The 25,101-nt window shown below is 41.7% G+C and overlaps 1 long non-coding RNA gene across 2 annotated transcripts; it reads left to right on the forward strand.

Annotated features, from left to right (window-relative positions):
* Nucleotides 1–3,268: 3,268 nt before the first annotated feature.
* Nucleotides 3,269–23,829, forward strand: LOC105374955 (uncharacterized). Of its 2 annotated transcripts, none has more exons than XR_926549.3 (4): nucleotides 3,269–3,415; nucleotides 7,074–7,215; nucleotides 15,281–15,359; nucleotides 23,794–23,829. It is a non-coding gene; the product is annotated as an uncharacterized LOC105374955 (long non-coding RNA). The 2 variants fall into 2 exon arrangements; XR_926548.3 differs by having other exon boundaries at nucleotides 7,091–7,215.
* Nucleotides 23,830–25,101: the final 1,272 nt, after the last annotated feature.

The following is a 25,101-nucleotide window of genomic DNA, read 5'->3' on the forward strand; positions in this document are numbered from 1 at the left end:
TGAAGAACTTTATTCACCAGGCACTGTGCTAGGTACTTTAGAGGCAATCCTTAGTCTCCACTGTGTCCTGAATGAAATAGGTGGCGTCCCTATACAACAATGAAGAAACTGAGACCTGAGTGGTTAAGTAACTTGCCTAAGGCTCATCTACTCAGCAACGATGCAGCCATTATTTGCAGGCCAGAATCCAAGACTTACTACCTGCTCAGCTGCCCTGGGGAGAGAGATGCTCTATCAGAAAACAAACAATGCTATTCTTTCATTGTGCTAATACCAGGAAAGGAGGAAGTGCAAACAGTACTACCCCTCCAACAATCTTGCTGCTGCTAGGGCAAGACTTCTCAAACTTTTTTGTCCACCACTGTAGTAAGAAATACATTTTAAAGGAAGACCCAGTGCAGTTGTATATAAATCTTCACATTTTAATATGTGGAATTAAATGAAGCAAGTCTTATGTTAAGTAAGTGGGTAGTGCTCTGACTTCTATTGAAGTAATTTGATCTATTAGTTCATAAAAAAATAAAATGCTGATCCTGATTCTGCAGGTTGGGGGTCGTCTGCACAGTAAAAGCATTCTTTGGGTGTAACAGATTGGAGATTTGTTTGCACTTTTGGACAAAGGAATTTTCACAGCGTCTTTCCTCTTTTGCATTCATTTCTCTGGCTAAGGACCCAAGGTTAACATTTTATGACTTATTTTTCCCATAAAGGCTGTTTGGTTCTATGATCTCCAAGAGCCTTTCACTCTACTTGTGTGTAGGGTTACATCCCATAATATATGCTACATCTTCACGTTCCTGAGAACGAAGGGCGCTAGTGTAGCCCTAATCTGTGGACGACATTCGCACAGACACAGCTCTGAGGGTGTGTGCATATCAGGCAGGTTAACGCTTGAGGAGGGCTCCCTGGTCCTACCCCTACTGTGGGGCATAGACTATTTTTAGATGCAAAAGGTTGGAAAAGCAGTTGCTCATTCCTGTTAAAGTATTACATCAATTTTCTTTTTAAAGGAACAGCTAAACTATATTCTCTAATGTGTACACAATCATAGAGGAATTTCGAATGTGAGAAAGTTGATCATGTCTGCTTTTTAAAAAATTTTCCATTATCTAGGTTAGGTTATATAGATTTCCCCCTTAAGACTTCTGCTTTTTAAATCAGCAATTTTAAACTTCATCCACTGAATTTTTTGCTAGAGTTGGTGGTCCCTGGTGCCATCCCACATAGTGTTGAAGAGGGTTGGGGAGAGAGGTGGTGTTTGATGAGCTGGGCTTTATGGTCTATAAAGGGGACCCCATCTGAATATCATGCTTCCCAGATTTGTGGGAAGGAACCTGCAGGCACAATCTTTTTGAAGCAACTTTGTGTGCTATGACGTGCCGGGCAGATAGAAGCAATGATCACTATTAGATGTGGCGCTAAGAGAAACGCTCTTTATCCTGATGGTAAAAGATGGCAGGCATTTCCACGGCGCAAATGAGGATTGTAACAAGTTGCTGCTCTATACCTGCTCACAAAACCTGTTACTCTATACTTGACCAATAAATCAAACATTTACTGATTCCTTATTATATACTAAGCATTGTGCCAGGTTTTTGTGGAGGCTGAAAAAATACGAGATATGCTCTCTGCACTTTAGGTGCTTATAATTGAGCTTCAGGGAGAATATAAATGAAAAAAAAAGGGGGAAAGTCCATCATTACAGGATGGCATGTAATTTAGTGCTAAATGGTGTGCTGCAGACCATGAGAGAAAAACTGAATGGTCAGAAGAGTCCGAGGAACTCAGACCTGCCTCATGGTCTGTGAAGGAACATCTGTGTTGGAAACCAGAGAGAGGAATGAGGAAGCACCAGAGGTCTGTTTATCTGAAAAAACTCTACTGAGTAACCTGTAACCCTTGGGTTTTATCTGAACTTCTTTGTGGTGTGGATTAAACTCAGGGCTCAAGACAACCCATGCACTATAGCACCGACTGAAGGTCTTGGTAAATAACTTAATTGAAGGACCATGACTTCTGCATCTTGGTGTCTTAGTCTGCACAGCCTGCATAACAAAATGGCTGAAACAATAGTAATTTTATTTTTCCCAGTTCTGAAGGCTAAGGAAGTCCAAGATCAAGGTTTTGGCAAGGAGGGTTTCATTCTGAAGACGCTTCTCTTCGCTTGTAGGCAGCTGCCTTCTTGCTGTGTGCTCACATGACCTCTTCTTTGAGAGAACTCTGGTCTCTTTCCTTCCTATAAGGGCACTGATCCCATCATGGGGATTCTACCCTCATGACCACATTTAAACCTCCCAAAAAACCCCACTTCAAAATATCAATACGTTGGGGACATCAACATATGAATTTTGGAGGGACACAAACATTCAGTCCATAACACTTGGTATGCTCAAGTTGTATGATGGAAAGGAGAAAGGGAGAAGCTTACCAGAGGGTCCACTTCCTCAGTGAACTTTGCTACAGAGAAAGTGCATCCTAGCTACTCTATCCTTATCATTTGATGTGCTCAGTTCTTTCAAGGGCACACTGATTTCAGCATCTTCATCACAGTTGAAATCAAGGCTCTGAATGTTAAATTGGAAGGCTGCTGTGCACCAATTTTTGTGTTTAGTATTAAGGCCTCTTGAATGCATGCTTTTGAGAAATGTATACTGCTCTGTGCAAATCATACAATTTATCCATCAGCTTCCATCATTAATTTAACATATGGGTAGCAGAGAAGCCACTACTCACTCAGTTCTCAACTGACTGCCTTAATGATGCTTTCTCCCCCGTCCTTGGTTCTTCCACTTAGTATTTCTAGTGTCATCTTCCTCCTATTTGATTCTTCTTCACTGCTTCTTCCTCCTTGCTCAGGAAGACATGAATAAAGAAGCAGTGAGTTGTTTGTTTCTTTATTTTCCTGCCTGTGTACTAGAAGGAGCCAGACCTGGTACATTCATTTGAGATAAGCAGGGTTGGGTTGTAGTTAAATGTTTGCAGAGAATGTTCCAAGGAAAACAGAGTATGGGGGTTTAGATGGGGAAAGTGCCCTCTGAGTCAGTATCAGATGAGGCCTCTGTTGTGGTGCTGGGAAGGTGGTGCTTGGGCTATGGAGAAACAATCCCACAACCTGAATAATAGCCTGTGGCCAACAGAATTCTGTGTCTTTTCTTCCAAGTAAAGCCGGCTACTGGGCAAATTCCAACTCGGGTGATCCCATTGTTTTCAACATTAATCATTCTCAGAAATATTGAGTTTTCTAAAGTGTTTTGCCAAGGCGGCCCTTGGAAACCTGTCTATGCTTCTGGATGAACCAACCTAAGTCACATCACTCCAGATATCATGGAGGATATCCATATGGTTATATGGAATCATAGAAACTTGTGGACGGAGGAGACTTAGGGATTATCTAGTCCAACCTTCTTGATTTCAGGTAAGGAAAGCAAAGCTCCCTGGCTGGTATCTTTTGCCAAGTGGCAAAAGAACTGGGCCTCTATCTGGGCTTCCTGACTCTCACTCAATTCATGGTTCTGTTGAATATGCCCTGGTTTGGAAAGTCTATGTTTTGTTTTGTTTTTCTGTTGCGATAGGCTTCCTTTGAGGATTGCCTGGTATTTTAGCAAAATGCTGGGAATTTTACAAGCTCATGGTTTAATAGCCAGGGTTGGCATTGATTTCACCTCTAGCAGAGCTAGTAGCGGATATAGAGGTGATAAATAAAGCTTAGAAAATGTGCTGGGATAAAATCTGTTAAGTCAACAAAACTAAAGCCATGTTTCATTCAAGACTGAATTTTGTTCTTAATTCATTCTGGGGTCAGACTGGAACATAGGCTTTCCCTAGGCAGTTTTCACGGGCAATGGTATGAAGAGCTTCTCTGTCTTTAGGCATTGCGATATATATTGAGGGAGGGGAGGGTATGGTATTAGAGAGAAGGAGAGAAGGAGAGAGCAGTGTAGCCAGGAAGGAAATGACATTTATGATTTGTGTCAAGAAACATATTTTTCTTCTCTATTATGGTCTTTTTATTGAAATACAGGTTATCTAACATCTTAAGGCTTCCTCTGATAAGAAGGAAAATAAAGATTAATTAACAATGTGTTTTATGGCAGGTTGTGTGTTCATAAAAGGTCTTTTGACGGGAAGCCAGGAGACCAAGTAGCCTCAGCTGTACCACTAAGAAGTCAAGAGCACCCAACAAGTCATTTCTACGCCTTGACCTCCAGTTTTGATTGTTTTTTTTTTTACTATGTTGCCCAGGCTGGAGTGCAGTGGCACGATCTCGGCTCACTGAACCTCTGCCTCCTGGGTTTAAGCGATTCTTGTGCCTCAGCCTCCTGAGTAGCTGGGACTACAGGTGTGCGGCACTATGCCCAGCTGTTTTGTATTTTTAGTAGAGATGGGGTTTCACCATGTTGCCCAGGCTGGTCTCAAACTCCTGGCCTCAAGATCCTCCTGCCTTGGCATCCCAAAGTGCTGAGGTTATAGGCATGAACCGCCGTACCCAGTCAAACCCCAGTTTCTTTATAGTGTCATGAAGAGGTGCATTATTAATAGATGACTTCTTGGGTTTTTTTCTAGCTTTGAAATTCTAGATTATCACTTAGAGCAAGAGATCTTGTTCCTGAAACCATTCTGATTGGGTTGTGTATTCTGCCACACAGAGCAACGGCTGCTAATGCATACAGTCCAGAATTGCCTGGTTTGCTCATTAGCACCCTGATGATCATGAGTCCAAGGCTGCCTTCCTTCCCCTACCAGAAGCTGATTAGGAAGCTTTCATAATCTGGAGATGGATGGGATGTCCCAGAGACATCTTGTCCAAAGGATTCTTTCATCCCTTGTCTTGAAGGCTTGTTGTGCTGCAGGCACCTTGCTCAGTGTCTGCCCTGGGAGGGTAGTCCCCTTCCTCTCACAGGACCTCTCACCTGGTAGAGGTCATGAAGTGCTCTTGGCAAGTATTTTTGATTGTTTGAGGCAAGACTCAGGTGGTGTTAAATGAAACTGGCCCAGGGACATTCCCTAATGGCTCAGTGCTCAGCCACTTCACTTTTGGGCCACAGATCAGCCTTTTCTGGCTGCCCCTTGGAACTGCTGATTCCCTCAGGCTGCTACTTCAGGTCTTAGGGCTAGCCCTTCTTTCAGGGAGTCTCTAACACTTGCCCAGCATGTACTCTGTTCACATAGCGTTCTAACTACTCGTCTACATGGCATCCAATGGTTTTTGGCCCCAATCTTACATCTTAAACACACACACACACACACACACACACACACACACACACACACAGACACACATACACACACACACACACGCTTTTTTATAAATTTTAATTTTTTTGTTTTTGAGAGACAGGGTCTCGCTCTGTCACCCAAGCTGGAGTGCTGTGGCGTGATCACAGTGTTTGCCACCATGCCTGGCTAATTTTTAAATTTTTTGTAGAGATGGCATCTCACTGTCTCACTATGTTGCCCAGGCTGATCTTGAGCTCCTGGGCTCAAGCGATCCTCCTGCCTCAGCCTCCCAAACTTCTGGGATTACAGGTATGAGCCACCACACCTGGCCAGGAATGTGAGTTTTCTTGGGTCATAGCTTGGTAGAAAGGTGGTGAGGACCCCTGAGACTATGAGAGGGAGGATAGCAGGAAATACCTCTTGGATATTGAAACAAAGAAAACTGTTGATGACAAAAACAAACAAACAAAAAACAAAAAAAACCCCAGAATCCTCTAGGGCAGAAACTTTGAGAACAACACTGCCTAATACTCAATGGTAAGTTTTGTTTAGGAGCTGTACTCTTCTATTAAACCTAAGGTTTTAGTAAAAGTTTGTTCCATGAGGTAGTAGTGATAGTGTTACTTTGAGTGCTGAGAAGGAGGAGGGAAGGTGGTGGCCAAAGGTGTGGGAATGGGATTAGAAATCAGAGCAGTATCCACAGGAAGCAAAGTGAGAAGTAAGACTGAGAAATCAGCAACAGCAGGAATTTGGAGTGGTATGAACCAGGGGAACATGTCTCCTGGATGCCTGGAAAAATTAGGGAGGGTATTGGATGGAAGATGGCAGATAACTGTGAAAAGGGTGCCCTTAGGTAGACTTGGGGACATTTGGTTTATCTAACTGGGACATCCACACACACAATTGTGTGCAAAATGATCTGGCATCATGCAGTACATTGGATGAGGCTGTGCACTCCTGAACCATCTAAGTCCATGGTTGCACATTAAAATGTCATGTTGAGCTTTAGAAAATACTTTGCCCTGTCCCTTCCCAGAGAGTCTGCTCTAATTGATCAGAAGTGAATCCTAGACACTGAAGTTTTAAAAAAGATCTCAGGTGATTCCTAGTGTGCAGGTAGATTTGAGAAAAATCGACCAAATTGTAATTTTAAGGTGAGTTGCATCCAAGTGATTTTTACTCATTTCTAAGTTTATTTCAATTATAGAGACTGAAGGGTAATCTGGAAGGTATTGTCAGCAAAAGTAATTCCCAAGATAGGTTTATAAAACATCAAAAGTTTATACTCCAAACTATACAACATTTTAAAGCAATATGTGTCAGGGACATGAAGATATGAATAAAGCATTCAACCTAGAGTTTCATTTTGATTCAGACCAGCACTGTAATGAAAGTTTAATTTCCTTATCTGTCAAATAGAGCTAATCATGGTATCTGCCCAACCTCACAATTTTGGAACTAAACAATAAAGTAATAGATGCAAACCTATTTGATAGATTTAGAAAGTTTTATTTCTAATACTGTGGGGTATTGTTGTTTTTGTTTTTATGTAGTCCCAGTCATGAAAGATTGTATATGTGTGTATATATATGTACCTATACATATTTAAAGGTATATATGTATTTTAAAAATACCTAATTATATAAATATAACATATTTATAAATGTGTGTTATATATCAGGTATTTATATGTATACTGATAGGTACATTTATATACACAGAAATATATAAAATATATGTCTACATATACACATGTGTATGTATATGTATACAAGGTAGCCACTGGGCCTTTGGAAGCAAGGCCTTTGGAGCCTAAAGAGTGCTATGCCATGCACAGAGAAACCACTCAATCACAGGTGCTGATAATTCCCAGGACTACCACCAGCCTCGCCTTTGTGCTGACAAGACTTCCTGATACGTCCTCAAGGATGATCAAATGAACTTCATGACTTGTTTCTGTTTCTGCCCTTGGACGACTTCTGCGGAAATCATCTCTAGGTAAGGGATTGTTATAATTTAGGATCTTTGAGATGAAGGGCACCGCTTCATTGATTAGGGGGACACAAGATGGAAATAAAGATTTTATTACTTACAGGTACTGGAGGTTACACGTCATGCCCAGAGGGCACACACTGAAGGCAGGGAGCACACGAAGACAGAGAGAGAGAGAGGAATCCACGCACTAATGACTTTACTGGGTCCAGGGTGTTATCCAGGCAGGTCTCCAGTGGGAGTTTTACATGGTGGGTTTAGCGAGCAGGCATGAGTTCAGGAGGTCATGCTGCGATGAGCGGTGGTCGCTGTGACACATCTGCACAGTCTATGTGGGCTGTGGGAGTCAGCAGGGCCTGCCCAGCAGGCTATATCTAGCTGTCACTGGGCAGGGGGTCACCAGGAGGAAGTTGTATAAGGCAGATATCTAGATGGACCACACTGGGGGACTGGGTTTGGGAGTATAGAACTAGAAACTGCACCAAGAGTACCTAAGCCCTGCTTCTGGTATGAGAAAGTTAAATTTATATTCAAAATGCATGTTGAGGCAACATAGAATAAGAATTCACTTCAGGGATATAACCTGGAGGTTAGCATGGGGAATGGGATGCCCTGGAGAACCACGGCCACTTTCCCAGCTCTCAGACAAAAGCATTCACATGGATGTTATAGAGTTTCTTAGAAGGGCCACTGGCAGGAACGGCCCTCCCTGCGCCCCCGCGAAGCCCCCCTGGTGCCCCATGAGGAATGGCCCTTCTCAGTAGCTCTTTTCAATTCCTCTCCATCCCAGGTTACCTCTACGGCATTGAAATTCTCAGTGACAGAGAAGTTCTGGGCTCTTCATCCCTGTTTTGGGGCAGGGAATCTCTCTTTTGGCCTTGGGCTGTCCCTAGTAAGGAAGGAGCTCTAACAAGGCTTTTGTGTGTGTGTCAGAAGACGGCCCGCCCGGCAGGAGCACAGCAGCTCTGTTGTGGGCCCAAGAGGAAGCTCTGTAAGAACAGTCTAAGGGGAGGAACAGGGGTTGGTGGACGTGCTGCTAAGTCACATTAGGGGATTCCAGTAAACACAGGAAAAGAATGTGGTGGTTCCCCTTCTTGCACAACAGCCTAGAATGCACTTTCCATACAGTGCATCCTCAGGAAGGATTAAGAAATAAGGAATTAAGGACATGGTTTTAGGCCCTCATTTCTTTGCTTCTTAGAGCTCTTCTTTCCTCCCTTATCTTGGGGTTTTTCAAGGTATTCAAAGTCCAAGGTTGAAGCTGGGATTTAGGAAGGTCACTCTGGGTTTTGTTCAGCTCAAGGTACACCTTGTCTTAGGTATTCAAGGGAGTTCAAGAGAGGGCAGTGGCAATGGGCTGAGAGAACATCTACCTTCATCCTCATTCCCCTGTTGCCAGCAGCGAGATGACCAATGCTGGCTGTAGATATGGTTACCTTTGGTCCCCATGGAAGGTCTGCAGGCCTGGAGGTGCAGGTGTGGGACATCAGGGCACCCCCCTGGCACTACCATTTTGTTCTTCAGGGCTCCTTTTCCACAGCTTCTGGAAAGCTCTTAGTGTTAGAAGGGAATGGTCTTTGGACCACTGAGAGACAGAGGTCTGCATTGAAGTCTGAATCCTGCTTCTGGTTAGCCCTGGGACCTCAGGCCATTTCCGACATGTCATCCCCTCCCATTCCCCTGTTTACCTGTTGAATGGAAACACTCTGTCAATTATAAAGTATTACACAGAGTTAAAATATTATTGTTAAGATTTGGTGATTACATGGAGGTTAGCTTGATTTCTATTGAGCACATGTATATGTGGTGGGAGAAGAACTTCAACAGGGAGTTAAAGGTCAGAAAATGTAGTATATGTGCTGTGGAAGCGAGCACAAGTTCAGAAAATTTAAAAAGGCGGCTGCTGGCCAGGCGCGGTGACTCACGCCTGTAATCCTAGCACTTTGGGAGGCTGAGGCGGGTGGATCACATGAGGTCAGGAGTTTGAAACCAGCCTGGTCAACATGGTGAAACCCCGTCTCTACTAAAAATACAAAAATTAGCTGGGCATGGTGGCGGGCGCCTGTAATCCCACCTACTTGGGAAGCTGAGGCAGGAGAATCACTTGAACCCAGGAGGCAGAGGTTGCAATGAGCTGAGATTGTGCCACTGCACTCCAGCCTGGGCGACAGAGTAAGACTCTGTCTGAAAAAACAAAGATGCGGCTGCTGACAGGCATAGAGGGAAAAAAGAGCAGAGTGGATACTTTTCACAGAGTGTGATCAGTTATATAGACCAGAGGGAAGAAATTGGGGGACAGAAAGGGGGAAAAGCTATCTGGGCCTTAAGTTAAAATCTATGAGAGATGACTTTTTTAGTGGGAGGAGCTGGTGACTTAAAAACTCTCTCTGCCTACAGGGGCTCCCATTTGACTGTTAGAGACTTTTTCCTTTGGATGAAACATGGTTCTTTCACCACAATTCTCATTTAAAATATAGATATTTCTTGAAGGGGTAACATGTTAAGCTATCTGTTCCTTTTCCTGTTCATTTTCCTACTGACAGGGGCAGCCTGGGTAAAAGTGATGACACAGAATTATCTGGAAAGGGAAAATTGAAATCAGGATGTGGAACAGAGGACTTTAGAGACTCTTCTTCATCACTTTGCTTAGGTTTTAGTTTCACTGGGATTTGCTGAGAGGACAGGGAATGAGTGTCCCAGGGTGTCTGCCTGAGACTGGAATTGAGGAAGGGGTGAAATGTTAACCAGAGAGCTGGGAGGGCAAATCCCTGGTATCCAGAAGCTGAATAGCACTTCTGTTCCCTCACTGTATGCTATTGAGTGTGTTGGCCCAGCATGGTGGAAACACCGCATTCCCAGGCTGAGCACCTCATGCTTCTGCAGAGAAAATGCTTTTCCGCCTCAGCTTGTGTCACGCCAGATGCACTCTGATCTCAGAGGGAAATGTGTGCTACTGGTAATTAATAAATAACCTATCACAGTTTACAAAAACCTTTCAAATCCAGCACGGCATTTGGTTCTCATGTGTTCCTCTCAGGGTGCTAGATGAAATTCTGACTCTAATTCCTCTAGTAGATGAGGAAATGAGAACACGGAGTTTCTTAAGATTACTCACTTGGAAAGTCATGGAGTTACCCGGAAGCAATATGGCTCGCCCTTGCACCAAATCTCACTGTTGACAATGACGATGGTGGGTGCTTCTCTTACTAGAATATCAGTTTATTTCTCCAGCTCTTCTCTGAGGAAAATAATACCCCTGAGGACAAATTTGAGGCACTGTTATGTGAAATGCTGACTCCCTGAGAAGGAAGGGAACGTTGGAAGCCGAGAATGCTTGTGCAGTTCCTCTCATGCTGCAGTTTTCTGGTGCCATCTGCTGCTCTGTTCAAGTAATGGCAGACGAATGGCTCTTGGTTGAAGGAAGGCAATGGTTGTAGTGAAGTGCGTCTTTAGGGTAACAGAATTGAGTTTTTATCAAACTGGGGTGTGTGTAGGTCATTGTACTCATTTCAGTGGTTTATGAGGACTTTTTAAAAGTTGTCTTTTCCCAAAACACTAGGATTGCAAGGAAAGATCTGATGTGCAACTTATGGTATGCTATGCTATTAATTATATCAATGAATAGTTGCATGTTAAGAGAGATAGAGAGAAAGAACAATAATTCATTCCAAAGGAGGGAGCCCTCCAGTAGACTCTGAGCTATTTGAGGGTAAGAACCAACTTAGTTATCTTCGTACCACTAACCTACCAAGTGCCTGCCACCAGTTGTGGGCACCAGTGAAATATATGCTCATTCTGTCACTGATGGTACAATTTTGGGTACAGTGGCATATGCATGAGACTACGTACATCCGCCCTGGCCAGCAGTCTTCTCAGAACATGAGTGAGTTAGGGAATTCTTCTCTTATTTCCACAGAGGCAGGTAGCCTGAGCATGGGGGATATACACCTTTAAGAGACAAATACCAATCCAGTTCTTTACAAAGGACAGGGCTGGATTTTGTTTTTAGAGGCCAGTTAAGGAATGTGAAAAGATGACAGCATTTAATCCATAAAATGAAGAGAATGTGACATAATCCATTTGTAGGCCCCATTCTTAATATCCACAATTAGTATTAGAGACAGGGACTCTAGCCGAGGGATGGGGCAGGAATAGGTCCTAAGTTTAGGAAAGTTTCCAATGGGGCAGAGATTCCCAAGATATATCTCTTGCCTCTAATGAGAAGATACAGAAGGGAGACTTGGAAACAGTTTGTTCTTTGGACATCTTGCTCCTGCTAACCACCTGTGTAAGGCATCGCCAGGCGTCCCTAGCCCTAGATTTCACCCAGCTACTTCTTGTGGGCTGTGGGGAGGGTATGGAGCAGCATCTGCTAATGTGGAATCTAACATTCACGTAGAATGGCTTGAGGCCTTTCTGTTAGGAAGTGGGAGTATCTCCGAGGAGGCAGAGTCTACAAGCCTAAAATGAGAGTGAAGATATTTCCCCTTCATTTTATTTTTACACTTAATTCAGCAAACAGCTATGTGCATGAACAGGTGTGTGAGTTAAAATATGCCTTTACATGTGACTATTTAAAGGAAACTTAATTCTTTTGAAAAGCAAAGAATCTTTTTGCAAAGTAAATAATCATGACACAATTCAATTGATAATCTATGAGTTAGCTAGGATGTATTCATTAAAAGGTCTTTGTTGTTACCCACATTTTATATGTTTAAGGGAATATAGAAGGACATTTAGTCTTAGACCAATAAATGGATTAGCTGGTAAGTATTGAGGCAAAAATACATGTTCTTATTTATAAAATTATAAGATTATCTATACAAAATTATATAATATTAACATTATAAATATACATTATAAATTGGTTTCCAGATCAACTCTCCAAAATCAATTAAATCTATGATACAGATGAAATCATAACATTTGTAACTAAAACAAGTAAGAAGAATGCTGATAGAATGTTCAAAATTATAAAGGAGATAAAAATATTGAGTAGAAATATGTGTTTAGTTCTCGTTAAGATGTTTGAGTAAATGTTTGAGTATTAAAAACACAAGAAGAGATTTTTGTAAAGCTTGAAGAACTCCAAGAATTTGAGATGTTGGTGCCTTGATTCTTGTGGCTAATTCAATCTAAAACCGTGTAGCTTTCCTGTCTGGGTAGATATATATATTAGCTTTTACTTATGAATTAGGCAATTTCTCTCTCAGAATTGAAACAGAGGAAGTAAGGAGAGATTTCCCTGGACTTACTAGGTAAGATCTAGAAGACAAAGATGGAGGAATAGAGTTGGACAAAAATATGTATGGGTGTGATCTTGGTCTGTGAGTGATGACTGGCCTGTAAGTGGAAAAATTAAGAAAATCAGCTCATGAGAGTTTGCATACTTCCCTGATTCCTGAAAGAAGAGAATCTTTATCTGCTGGAGTTTCCATGTTGACTGACAGTCATATATGTTAAAAGGAGAACAACATTTTACATGTTTAATGACTTTTGGAAAGTCATTTGCAAAGTTTTTTTTTTTCTTCACACAGCAACATTATACAGTGGTTTGGGAAAGGAATTTCAATTCAGGAATTTTATTTAAAATCAAAATTCAATTGCCTTCCCTAAACTCCTTTAAAGTTGCTATTTTTTATTCTGATACCACCAGTGAAGGGCCTAACTCAGGCTTCTCAGGATGACATCCCAATAAAATCCCGTGGCAACCAAGCTCTTCGCGACAAGTACTCAGCCGCCTTTCTATCTCTGTGTGTGTCGAACAGGCAGACAGCCGTGAGTCATCAAATACACACTGGGGTCATTTGGGAGCTAATCTTTATAAAGATGAAAACTGCATCTGAATGTTTATTGTTGTCTTCACTTCAGTGCAAGATAAAGAAGCTCCGTCAAGTAACGCAGTGGGCCCTCAAAGTGTGGTCCTGGGACCAGCCATGTCAGCATCACTAGAAAACTTGTTAAAAAAGCAGTTCTCCAATGAGCACACATGGACACAGGGAGGGGAACTCACGCACTGGAGCCTGTCAGGGAGGCGGGTTGCGGAGGGAAAGGGAGAGCTCAAGATAAATAGCTAATGCATGCTGGGCTTAATACCTTAGGCAATGGTGAAGCGGCTACGTTACCTGGGGTATATATCCTGGGGTTCGTTGTGGTGCGCCAGGAAAATTTAGGACACAGACACACATGAGGAGTTTAGGAGCAGAGGTTTAATAGGCAGAAGAGAAAAGGAAGATAAACAGCTCTCTCTATAGGGAGAGGGGTCTCCGAGCGGAAAGGACCCAGCCAGCGGTAAATGTGCCAGGTTTTACAGTCAGATTTGAGGACGTGGTGTCTGATTTACATAGGACTCACAGATTGGCTCGATTAGGTACGATGTTTACATAGTGCATGGGGAAGGCTGGTTCCCCGCCCTAATCTTATTATGCAAATGGGCTTTCCAGTTCATTGGGGACATCCTGTCTGCTCCTCACTGTACACATGGCTGACAAAGAGAAGGGAAGATGGAGCTGCCATCTGAACATGTCTAGTCCCTAGTTCCTGCCAGGATTCACCCATGCAAGCTCCCAGCTTGCTTATTTATGTCTGCAGCTTGACTTTACAGGCTACTCTGTTAGAACATGATTTTGGGCTGCTTTTCATTAAAAAAAAAAAAAAGGTCTTACCGTGGACTCCCATAACCCTTACTATCTGCCTAAGTGATTTCTTCTTAACTCCTATATCAATGGGCTGACAGGTGCAGCAAACCACCATGGCACACGTTTACCTATGTAACAAACCTGCACATCCTGCACATGTATCCTGGAACTTAAAATTAAATTAAAAAATTAAAAAAAAAAAAGCAGTTCTTGGGCCCCATTCCAGACCTCTTGAATCAGAAACTTGGGAAGGAGGGTTCAGTAATCTGTGTTTTAATACATCCTCCTGGGGATTGTGATGCAAGCTCAGTATTGAGAACCACCGAGTAATGTGTGAATGAGGTCAGGAGAGCTAAAGAAGTAGGCTAAGGGGAGAAGTCAATTCAGGCTAATTCACTCCAAAACACCAACGTTATTATATATCTGAAAGAAAATTGAAAGGAATCTTAAGAATGATCTTCCTCAGGGTTAGGAAATAAACTAAACACAGCCTGAGGAACAGTGGGAAAGGATGGTGGATACTACCACCAATTTTCTCTTGGGGTTGAAGCTGGAAGTGTTAATCAGGTCTACCATACCTTATCTAAAATTTCAACGTCACCAAAGCTCTGGCAACTGAGAATTTTACTGTAAGTTTGGTACCAAAACTCATTGGTGGCAAAATCTAACCAGAGTTCATGTGAGGCTTTACATTCATCATATTTATCCCACTTCGAGTGAATATTCATATTTTGCTTTAATTATCAACTTAGTTGTAGGATAGCTCTGCTGGGGAGGCAGTGGGTCTGAGAGCCACTACTAAGGAGGAAGTTTAGCCCTTCTCTGTCCAATGCTCCCCAGATTGCAGTTTCCTTGGGCACAAAGCCATAGCTTGAACCACTTTGAGGCCCAGTAGCTTAGACGGAGCCCTGTGTGCTGAATGAATGGGAAAGTTCCTATCATGAAAAGGTGTCATCAAGGAGGTCCAAGTGACCTCCAGTTTTCAGAGTTGAGGAAGTTACCTCTGCCGTCATCACACCAGGCCACTGAACTCTCAGAGCAAAGACCAACTGGAAGTGAATGTAGAGATTACCCTTCCCCTCCTTAGAAAAAAAAAAAGATTAACTAAACTCTATCCTTTATTTCAGTTGCATAGTTTTTCTGTAATATCCTTTCTCCACTTAGTCACCATGTCTCCTTAGACTCCTCTGGGCTGTGATAATTTCTCAGACTTTCCTTGGTCTTGATGACCCTGACAGATTTTTTTCCTTTTAGTTGGCATGTAATAATTGCACATATTTATGGGGGTACAGAGTGATATTTCAATACCACTAATTTCTTAATTTTTCCACTTACAGACCAGTAATCTACTCACAGACCAAGATACCTGCATCTGTATTATCACACTCAGCCATAATTTTGTCCAACTCTATTCTTCCATTTTTATCTTCTAGATCTTACCTAGTCAATCCAGGAAAATCTCTCCTTACACCCTCTGTCTGTTTCAATTCGGAGGGAGAAATTGCCTAATTGGTAAGTAAAAGCTAGTATATATATTTATCTACTCAGACAGGAAAGCTACATATTTTTTATTATTTTATTTTATTATTTTTTTGAGACAGTCTCATTCTGTGGCCCAGGCTGGAGTGCACTGGTGACATCTCGGCCTACTGCCACCTCCGTCTCCCAGGTTGAAGCAATTCTCCTGCCTCAGCCTCCCAAGTAGCTGAAATTACAGGTGCCCGTCACCACACTCCGCTAATTTTTGTATTTTTAGTAAAGACAGGATTTCATCATGTTGGCAAGGCTGGTCTCGAACTGACCTCAAGTGATCCACCCGCCTCGGCTTCCCAAAGTGCTGGGATTACAGGTGTGAGCCACCGTGCCCGTCCAGAAAGCTACATGTTTTTAGACTGAAATACCCACATACATTGTGTAGCAATCAAATCAGGTTAATTAGCATATTCATCACCTCAAACATTGATCATTTCTTTATGTTGGGAACTTTCAAAATCCTCTCTTCTAGCTTTTCAATATATGCAATAAATTATTGTTAACTATAGTCACCCTACAGAGCTACATAGAACATTATAACTTATTTTTCTTTTTTAGCTATAATTTTGTTTCTGTTAACCAACCTCTCCCTATCCTTCCCTCCCTCTATCCTCCCAGCCTCTAATAACCATTATTCTGTTCTCTATTTCTATGAGCCCAATTTATGTTTTTAGCTTCTAGATGAGTGAGAACACGTGGTACTGATCTTTCTGTGCTTGGCTTATTTCACTTAACATAATTGACCTTGACAGTTTTGAAGGGTAGTGGTCGGGTATTTTGTAGAATTCCCCTCTATTGAATATTGATGTTTTATCCTCTTGATTAGACTAGGATCATGGGTTTTTGGAAGGAAAACCACAGGTGGAATGCCACTTTTATCACACCATATTAGGGGTTATCCTTGACAGGGCTCTCCTTAGCTGAGGTGGTGAACTGGTTGCTATCTCATCATTCTCTGTATATCAGGACCCCTGCCAGCCTTTGATGCTCCAGGGTTATGCCTATTGCCACAGAATTCAGAGTTGAGTTTTGGCTGGCTCAGCTGTGCTGGCCTTGCCAGTGGAAAAAAAAATCCAACTCAAACCAACTCAAGAAAGGAATTTCTTGACTCATGTTTCTATAAAACCCAGAATACTGTTTTTAGGCATGGCAAGATCCAGGAACTCAATCACAAGCATTCAGAAACTCTCATGTATTGGCTGTGGTTTTTCTTGGGTTTCATTTTTAGGTTGGCCCTCTCCAAATTTTAGAAAAGATGATTCCTAGACATTCCGGAATCTTTGTGTGATCCCAGAGCTAGGCTTTTTAGAGAAGAAGAGCATGATAATATGAAAGCCCAGCAGAAACCCCAGGAAAGCACCATGCTCAGCTCAGGTCCAATGCTTATTTCAGGATCAGCAGCAGGAAATGCGCCACTCTGATTGGTCAGGTGTGAGTCATGTGCCCACCCCCCTGCCCCCATCTAAAACCACGAGGACTGAAGAAGAAGAGCAAAGGGAGAGAAAGCTGAATGACAGTACACATATGATGTCTTTAGTGACATCCAAAGTCCTTTGTTAAAATGGAATTAGTAATATGTATAGGGGGACTTTTGAGAGCAAAAAGAGAAAATTTACATAATGTTACCTACACTTAGTTCCATGGAAAGCCAGGTGCTTTTCTAAGCATTTCACATATACCAACTCACCTATTCTATAGAACTGCCCTAGGAAATAGACACCTTTATTAACTTAATTTTACAGACAAGGGAACCCAGGCACAGAGAAATTAGGTAATTCTCCCACAGTTATATGACTGATAAGTGGCAGAGACAAGACTTGAACCCAGGTATTCTCACTCAGTATGTTCTTAACCATCTTATGATACTGTCTACTGAGAAAGTCATATGGGAGGGGACAGGGAAGTGCTGGGTAGAGAAGGGGTGGGTCCCTGGTGAGGGCTCCACCCTCGGGCTTGTGCCCACAGACCTAAGTGAGAAAAGGAACTTCTGTTTTTGCGCCAAAATGTTGCATTTTCCAAGACCACTCTGGCCTGCCATGCCCCCCACCCTGTGCCTATAAAAACCTGAGACCGTACCAGGCACAGGCACAAGCGGCTGGACATTGAGAGGAGCAGAGGAGCAGAAGGCTCAGACACCAGCAGGTGCCAGCAGGCCGTAGATGGCGGGAAGATGTGGAGTTTGGTTGGGGGTGGTTGGAGGAGAGTCTAGCCGCTGGGTGGCCCAACTCCAGGGGAAGACCACCTTACCATTCCATCCCCCTTCTGGCCTCCCCATCCATCTCACTGAGAACTACTCAATAGAACCTTGCACTCATTCTTCAAGCCTACATGTGATCCGACTTTGCCGGTACACTAGGGCAAGAATCCGGGACACAGAAAGCCCTCTGTCCTTGTGATAAAGCAGAGGGTCTAATTGAGCTGATTAACACAAGCTGCCTGCAGATGGCAAAAGCTGAAAGAGCACACTGTAACACGTGCCAGCTGGGGCTTCAGGAGTTGTAAACAGCCAACCATAGATGCTGCTGTGGGGTCGGAGCCTAAAAAGGCTCCCTATGACCTGCCGGTCTGCATGCTCCTCCTAGGGGGTCACTGAAGATGCAAGCCACACCCCTGTCGCATGCCCTGCGTGGGGGATAAGGGAACTCTTCCCGTTTCAAAAGCATTGGACAAAGTTAGTTTGCTGGATGTTTCCTTTGGGACCAAGGCCCATATGCAATTGCTGGGATTGTTGGCTGTTATTAGTTCAGAGCTGAGTCCTCATCTGAATGGAGCAGCCGACCCCAGGGTTCACTCCATTCTTGGGGACAGCCTCCATCCAGTGACTGCCTGATGTGGAGATCAAAGGCCTGTGCTCCTGGTCCCTGTAGGGTCATCGCGATGCCAGAGCTTCCTATCAGACCAGTCAACATGCCCTTCAACCTCTTACAGGTATCATTTCTGGGACCACTCCCAGTAAAACTTTTTCTTGCATAAAAATCTCATTTTAGAGTCTATTTTCCAGAAAACTCAACTCAAAGAAGCCAACTGCTGTTCTTCATACTTGTTCATTCCACAGGGTCTAGCATAATGAAATCGCAAATTGACTCCAAGATGAATGAATGAATGAAGATATATAGGCATTTCTCAGGAGGTGTTAAGATGAGACATATTGACCCCATTCTCTTCCTGATAAAAGGGCCTCAAAATACATAAAATATTGACTTAAGCCTTTGCTTAAGGGTCACTCTACTACAAAGCCTTTCCTTATCAACTGGTATAAAATTCCATCCCCCCTCTATTACTCTCAGTCCGTCTTACTCTGCTTTATTTTCTTATCATAACATTTATCACCAAGTATCTTCCTCTCTCTTTGTATCTCTGTCTCTCAATTTCTCTCTCTCTAAATCTTTCTTTCTCTATATCTATTTCTAAATCTGTATTATCTCTATCACCCATCTATATCTATCTTTAAATCTCTATTATCTATCTATTGATAAATATCTATAGATCTCTCTCTTTAAATTACGCGCGCGCACACACACACACACACACACACACACACACACACCCCTCCTTCTGCACCCAATGAGATACAAGATTCAAGAGAGGAAGAATTTCTATTTTGTTCATTTTATCCTCAGTGCCTACATCAGTCTCTGGCTCATAGTGGGTGCTCATTAAGTATCTGCTGAATGAGTGAAAGCTGAAAACAAGGAGATTAAAGTAAGAGAGAGGGCCGGGCACAGTGGCTCATGCCTGTAATCCCAGCACTTTGGGAGGCCGAGGCAGGCGAGTCACCTGAGGTCAGGAATTCAAGACCAGCCTGGCCACATGGCGAAACCCTGTCTGTACTAAAAATATAAAAATTAGCTGGGCATGGTGGCAGGCACCTGTAATCCCAGCTACTCGGGAGACTGAGGCAGGAGAATCGCTTGAACTCGTGGGGTGGAGGTTGCAGTGAGCTGAGATTGCGCCATTGCACTACAGCCTGGGTGACAGAGGGAGACTCCGTCTCAAAATAAATAAATAAATAAACAAACAAATAAGAGAGAGGCGAAAGGGCAACTCACAGAAAGAATAAGCTGGTAGCACAGAGAACACCAGCAGCAGCCCTGCTGAGACATGTACCATGCTCTGAGGCTCAGACAACAGCTGTGATCTACACAGTGCACCCCTTTCCTCCTGGGCACAGGCTTGTACTCTGACCTTGAGTCTATTTTCTTCAGACTTCCAAGTCTGGATCCTTTTCCACAGGCAATGTCGAGCCTGCTAATTACAGAGTGTGTGATTTTAGACAAATCTCTTCCTCTTTCAGCTTTAATTTTTCTGTCTGTAAAATGAGAATTCTGTGCTTCTTACCTGATAGGGACTAAATGCAATACCTTACATAAAGCTCTTAGGAGAGTCATATACACAGTATGCTCAATAGATTCTCTGATTGATTGTGGTATTTGTGCAATACTAGGAGATGTATGATCTGTTGGGGGTTTTACAGAGGGGATTTATGCTCTGGACTGGAGATTAGACAAAGATTAGACAACTTAGCTTCACTAATTCTAAGTTTGTGGTTTGAGGTGACAATCTGAATGGAAACGAATTTGCTTTTTCTAACCAGAGCAAAGCTCACTCTGTTTTGATCTGAGTAGGGCACTTTTCCTTAGAAACATACATACGTAGTTTTGCAATACAGCACAGGGCAGTGGTTAAGAGCATGAACTCTGGAGCCAGATCACTTGGGTTTAATTTTTGGCTCTATAACACAGTAGCTATGACACTGGGCAGTTATGTAACCACCTTCTCCCTTGATTGTTTTAATCTTTAATATGGGGATAACAGAAAAGGGAGTAGGTCTACTGCACTCAATTTTTCTTAGATCTTATAGATACCTGTTTGAGCCTGCACATGGACGGGTCTTGTCGCAACTGTCATGTGATGGCTAATTTATGATTGAATGTCTGGACAATAAAGCAAGATGATGCCAATGGGATTGTAAGTAAGTGCATTAAGAACTGGATGGTAGGCTGGGCATGGTGGCTCATGCCTGTAATCCCAGCACTTTGGGAGGCTGAGGCGAGCGGATCATGAGGTCAGGAGATCGAGATCATCCTGGCCAACATGGTGAAACTCTATCTCTACTAAAAATACAAAATTTAGCTGGGCATGGTGGCACGCGCCTGTACTCTCAGCTACTCGGGAGGCTGAGGCAGGAGAATTGCTTGAACCAGGGAGTCGGAGGTTGCAGTGAGCCCAGATTGCACCACTACACTCCAGCTTGGCGACAGAGCGAGACTGCGTCTCAAAAAAAAAAAAAAAAAAAAAAAAAGAACTGGATGGTAGAGCCAACTGATGTGGCTAACTAGTGTTAGTTTTTGCAGCCATATAAGGCAATTATTCAGAGCTTCACAGTGGCAGGCCTTCCGGCAATCTGGCAAGATTTCTCCTTGGATGGCCAGAATACCATTGCCCCTGACCTGTGCATAGCTCCTATCAGAAACCAAGGACGCTTGCAAATTCCCCCTCCCCACGCATCACCCCAGTTTGATGTTCTCTATAAACATGTGATGAAAGTGTATCCTTTGAGCTCTGTAGTAAATTGTGGTTTTTAAGATTTTTGTGTCCAGGTACCCAATTCTATCAGGCCTCTAACCTAGTCATTCATAGAATCGCTTCAGTTCTAGGTAGTTCTGGAGTGAACATTTCTTGTTTCTCTAATCACCTTTTACTTATCCTCTCCAAAGGAAGATAAATTGCTGATGGTTGAGTATGAATCTACTGGGCCATGTACAACACAATGGCTAGTTACGATGCCGCCAAAGTGAGAATCTGACTCGACTTTCTCTTGTGCTATAAATCTGTAGGAAGGGAGAGGGATTTAGCACTGCCATTCTCTGGGAGCTAAGTGGACTGAACAGGATCTGCTTGTTTACCAGTGCCTGATGGCATATATGAGGGAGATTTTGACTGCAGGCTGTCAAGTACAGACTTGGCGTTATACCCTGTTTTTATTTTATGTTTTTTTCAAAAAGATTAAACATCAGCCATTAGTGAAGCTGCTATTGCAATTGCCACTTGGGCTGGTGAACTTTGTGAATGTTCTGATAGGTTAGAATTGTGAGAAGTGAAAGTGAGGCAGGAGGGAATATTGATTCCCTAAACTCTAGCACTTCGAGATGTACAATTAAAAAAAAAAATTTTTAGAAGTGGTGAGGGAAACACAGGTTGCTGAAATGATTTATTGAGAGGTAAGGCTAACTACACAGGGACATAGAATGTGGAATGATAATCATTGGAGACTTGGAAGGCTGGGAGGGAGGGTGGGGGATGAGAATTTACTTAATGGGTATGCTGTATGTTATTTGGGTGACAGATACACTAAAAGCCTAGAATTCACCACTATGAAATATATTCATGTAACAAAATTGCACTTGTACTGCTTAAATTTGTACAATTAAAAATTTTGAAAATAAAGGCAAATGTAAGCATGCTTTCTTTAAAAAATTGGGTGTTTCATTGAAAGATAGAAAAATTCTGCATCTTAAAAATTCCAGTTGGCCTTTTAGTTACTTTGTGGTCAATGATATTGTCTCACCTTTCCAATATCCATTGGAATAGTGATGGTATCTAGGAATACACAAATATAAATGATAGGAATGCCCTGATCCAAGGGGCAGAGGTCTGTGAATGGCTCACAGCCACCTTTCATAGTTCAGGATCTGAAATTCTGTGTGTCAGGGGCATGTGGAAGTGGAAAGCACACATTTCCCTATCTGTGAAGTGTCTCTCTTTCCCTTGACGGGTCTGTGACTTCTCTTGGACTCTCAAAGTTCAACCAATCAAAGATGAATTGATTCTCAAAGTTCAATCAATCAAAAATGAATTAATTCAAAGTCATTAAGTTTGTAGCTTGTGCTATGTCTTTAGGCAACACTTGGGTAGTGAAAATAAAATAAAGAAAAAAAGCAAAAAGCAGTGCTTCTGAAGGGTGATATTGTTTCAAGAGATTAACAAAGATTTGTCATGCATTCCAGAGCTGTGGGGTGGCAGTGCACTGCAACTTGTTGTTAGAGCCTGCTTGTTGCTGCCATCAAGGTCAGGCTGTCTTTGCCACCCCTCAGTGCCCATCAAAATAATGCATCGATAACAAAAGCTGTAGCAGCTTGACTGACTTCTGCTGCACCCAGAAATTTTGGGGATAAACTACAAGGGGAAGCTTTGAATTTCTCTGGTGTGAAAGGATACCCTCCATTTCCTGCTAATTAAGCCATATTAGGAGGAGGCAAAGATTTGTGGCAGATGAAATCAAAGCTGAATTGAGAACATTATTAACGAAAATTAATCTCTAAGCTCTCCTTCATTCCCTTTTCTCTAGACTAGCATGGTTTCTTTCTTTCTATATAGCCATTTTAATATTCAGGCACAATTTTCCTCTTAATATTCAACTATTGTTAGCATGATACTTATATTTTTTATAGTATTTACAAGGTCTTTTAAATTAGTCTTTTTCACTGAACATTTATTTTTAAAATAATGTTTTTATTATGAAAAAATTATATGATCATTATAGAAAATTTGGAAGCAAGTGGCAGTGACAAAACGTAATAATATATTAAGTTAATGATAGATACGAAATTTCTATAGCCCAGTTCAGGCCTCAATTCATCAAAAAGGTTGCTTAGGGCCCAAAAGATTTTTTATTGTAGGTGTATTGCTATTATTGCATTTACCATGTTTTAAAAAATCAAATCATTACCCGTAGTCTCATTCAAGAGCAGGTGCACTTTCTTACTCATTTTTCTCCGTAAGTTTCTTTTAATCATCAGTTTTTTGCAGCTTCTTTGAGGTATAATTGACAAATATTAAAATCCACATATTTGTTTATTTTTATTTTGACTTTTTTATTTTTTAATTTATTTTTTCTTTTCATAGGTTTTGGGGGAGCAGGTGGTGTTTGGTTACATGAATAAGTTCTTTAGTGGTGATTTGTGAGATTTTGGTGCACCCGTCATCCAAGCAGTATACACTGTACCCTATTTGTAGTCTTTTATCCCTCACTCCCTTTCCAGCTTCCCCATCACAGAGTCCCCAAAGTCCATTGTATCATTCTAATGCTTTTGCATCCTCATAGCTTAGCTTCCGAGTGAGAACATACGATGTTTCAAATCCACATATTTAAAGTGAACAATTTGATGAGTTTGAAATACATTTATATGTATCTGCGAAACCTTTACCCAAATTGGGTTAATTATCACCTGCTTCTCGCTTCTTCAGGCAACCACTGATTTCTGTCACTATAGATTAGTTTGCATTTTTGAGAATTTTATGTGAATGGAATCTTATTTTTTCTAACCTCTTTCTCTCAGAATAATTTTTTAGAGATTCCTCTATGTTGTTTTGTATATTTATAGCTCATTACCTTTTTTTTTATTTGAAACAGGGCCTTGTTCTGTTGCCTCCACCTCCCGGGTTCAAGCAATTCTCCTGCCTCAGCCACCTGAGTAGGTGGGACTACAGGCACGCACCACCACGCCTGGCTAATTTTTGTGTTTTTGGAAGAGACGGGGTTTCACCATGTTGGCCAGGCTGAGCTCATTCCTTTTTATTGCTGAGTAAGAATATGCTACAATTTTTTATCCATTTATCTATTGATGTACATTTGGCTTGTTTCTAGTTTTTGGCTACTACAAGTAAAGCTGCTATGAACAGTCATGTATATATTGTGTGGACATATACTTTCATTTCTCGTGGATAAATAGCTAGGAGTAGAATGGTTAGGTCATATGGTGACTGCATATTTACATTTTAAGAAATTGTTTCTCAAAGAGGTTGAACAATTTTACATTTTCACTAGTAGTGTATGAAATTTCTGGTTGCTCCACATCCTTGAAAACACTTGATATAATCAGTCTTTTCAATTTTAGCCATTCTAGTGGTTATGTAGTGGTGTAGTTGAACATTTTTTTCATGTGCTTATTTGCTATTTGTATATCTTTTTTGAAGTGTTAATTAAAATATTCTGCCCATTTTTAATAAAATTGTGGTGGTGGTGTTAGAGTTTTTAAAAAATGTATTCCAGATATCAGTCCTTTAACAGATACATTATTTGTAAAGATTTTCTCCCAGTCTAGGGTTTCTCATTTCCTTTTTAAAATAGTGTCTTTGGATAAAGTCTAATTTATGGTTTCTTTTTATTCCTGTATCCAAATCTTTGCCAAACTAAGGTCACTATGATTTTTTTTCCTATTGTGCTCTAGAAGTTTTATAATTTTAACTCTTGTATTTAGGCTTATGTTTTATTTTGAGTTAAATTTTGTATATACTAAGCGGTAAGAATCAAGGTTCATTTTTGTGCATATAGATACCAAGTTGTTCCAGAACCATTTATTGAAAAGATTATTCTTTCTCTTTTAAATTGTCCTGGCACCTTTGTCAACAATCCTAAATATGTGGGTCTATGTTCTATTCTAATTCATTTATTGATCTATTTTTATGCGAATACCACACTGTCTTGGTTAATGAAACTTTGTAAAAGCTTTGAAGTTAGGCAGTACGAACCCTCTGGCTCTTTTTTCAAAGTTGTTTTTCCAAAGAATTTTCTACAGAGTCAGTCGTGTTATCTGCAAATAAAGCCAGTTTTATTTCTTCTTTTCAAATCTGGATGCTTTTCAATTTTATTTATTTATTTCCTATTGCATAGAATAAAATCTCCAGCACTGGATACACATGTTCTCTGTCATAAAGAGAG

This window comes from Homo sapiens, chromosome 6 (assembly GCF_000001405.40).
Source record: "Homo sapiens chromosome 6, GRCh38.p14 Primary Assembly".
NCBI classification, from domain to species: Eukaryota; Metazoa; Chordata; class Mammalia; order Primates; family Hominidae; genus Homo; species Homo sapiens.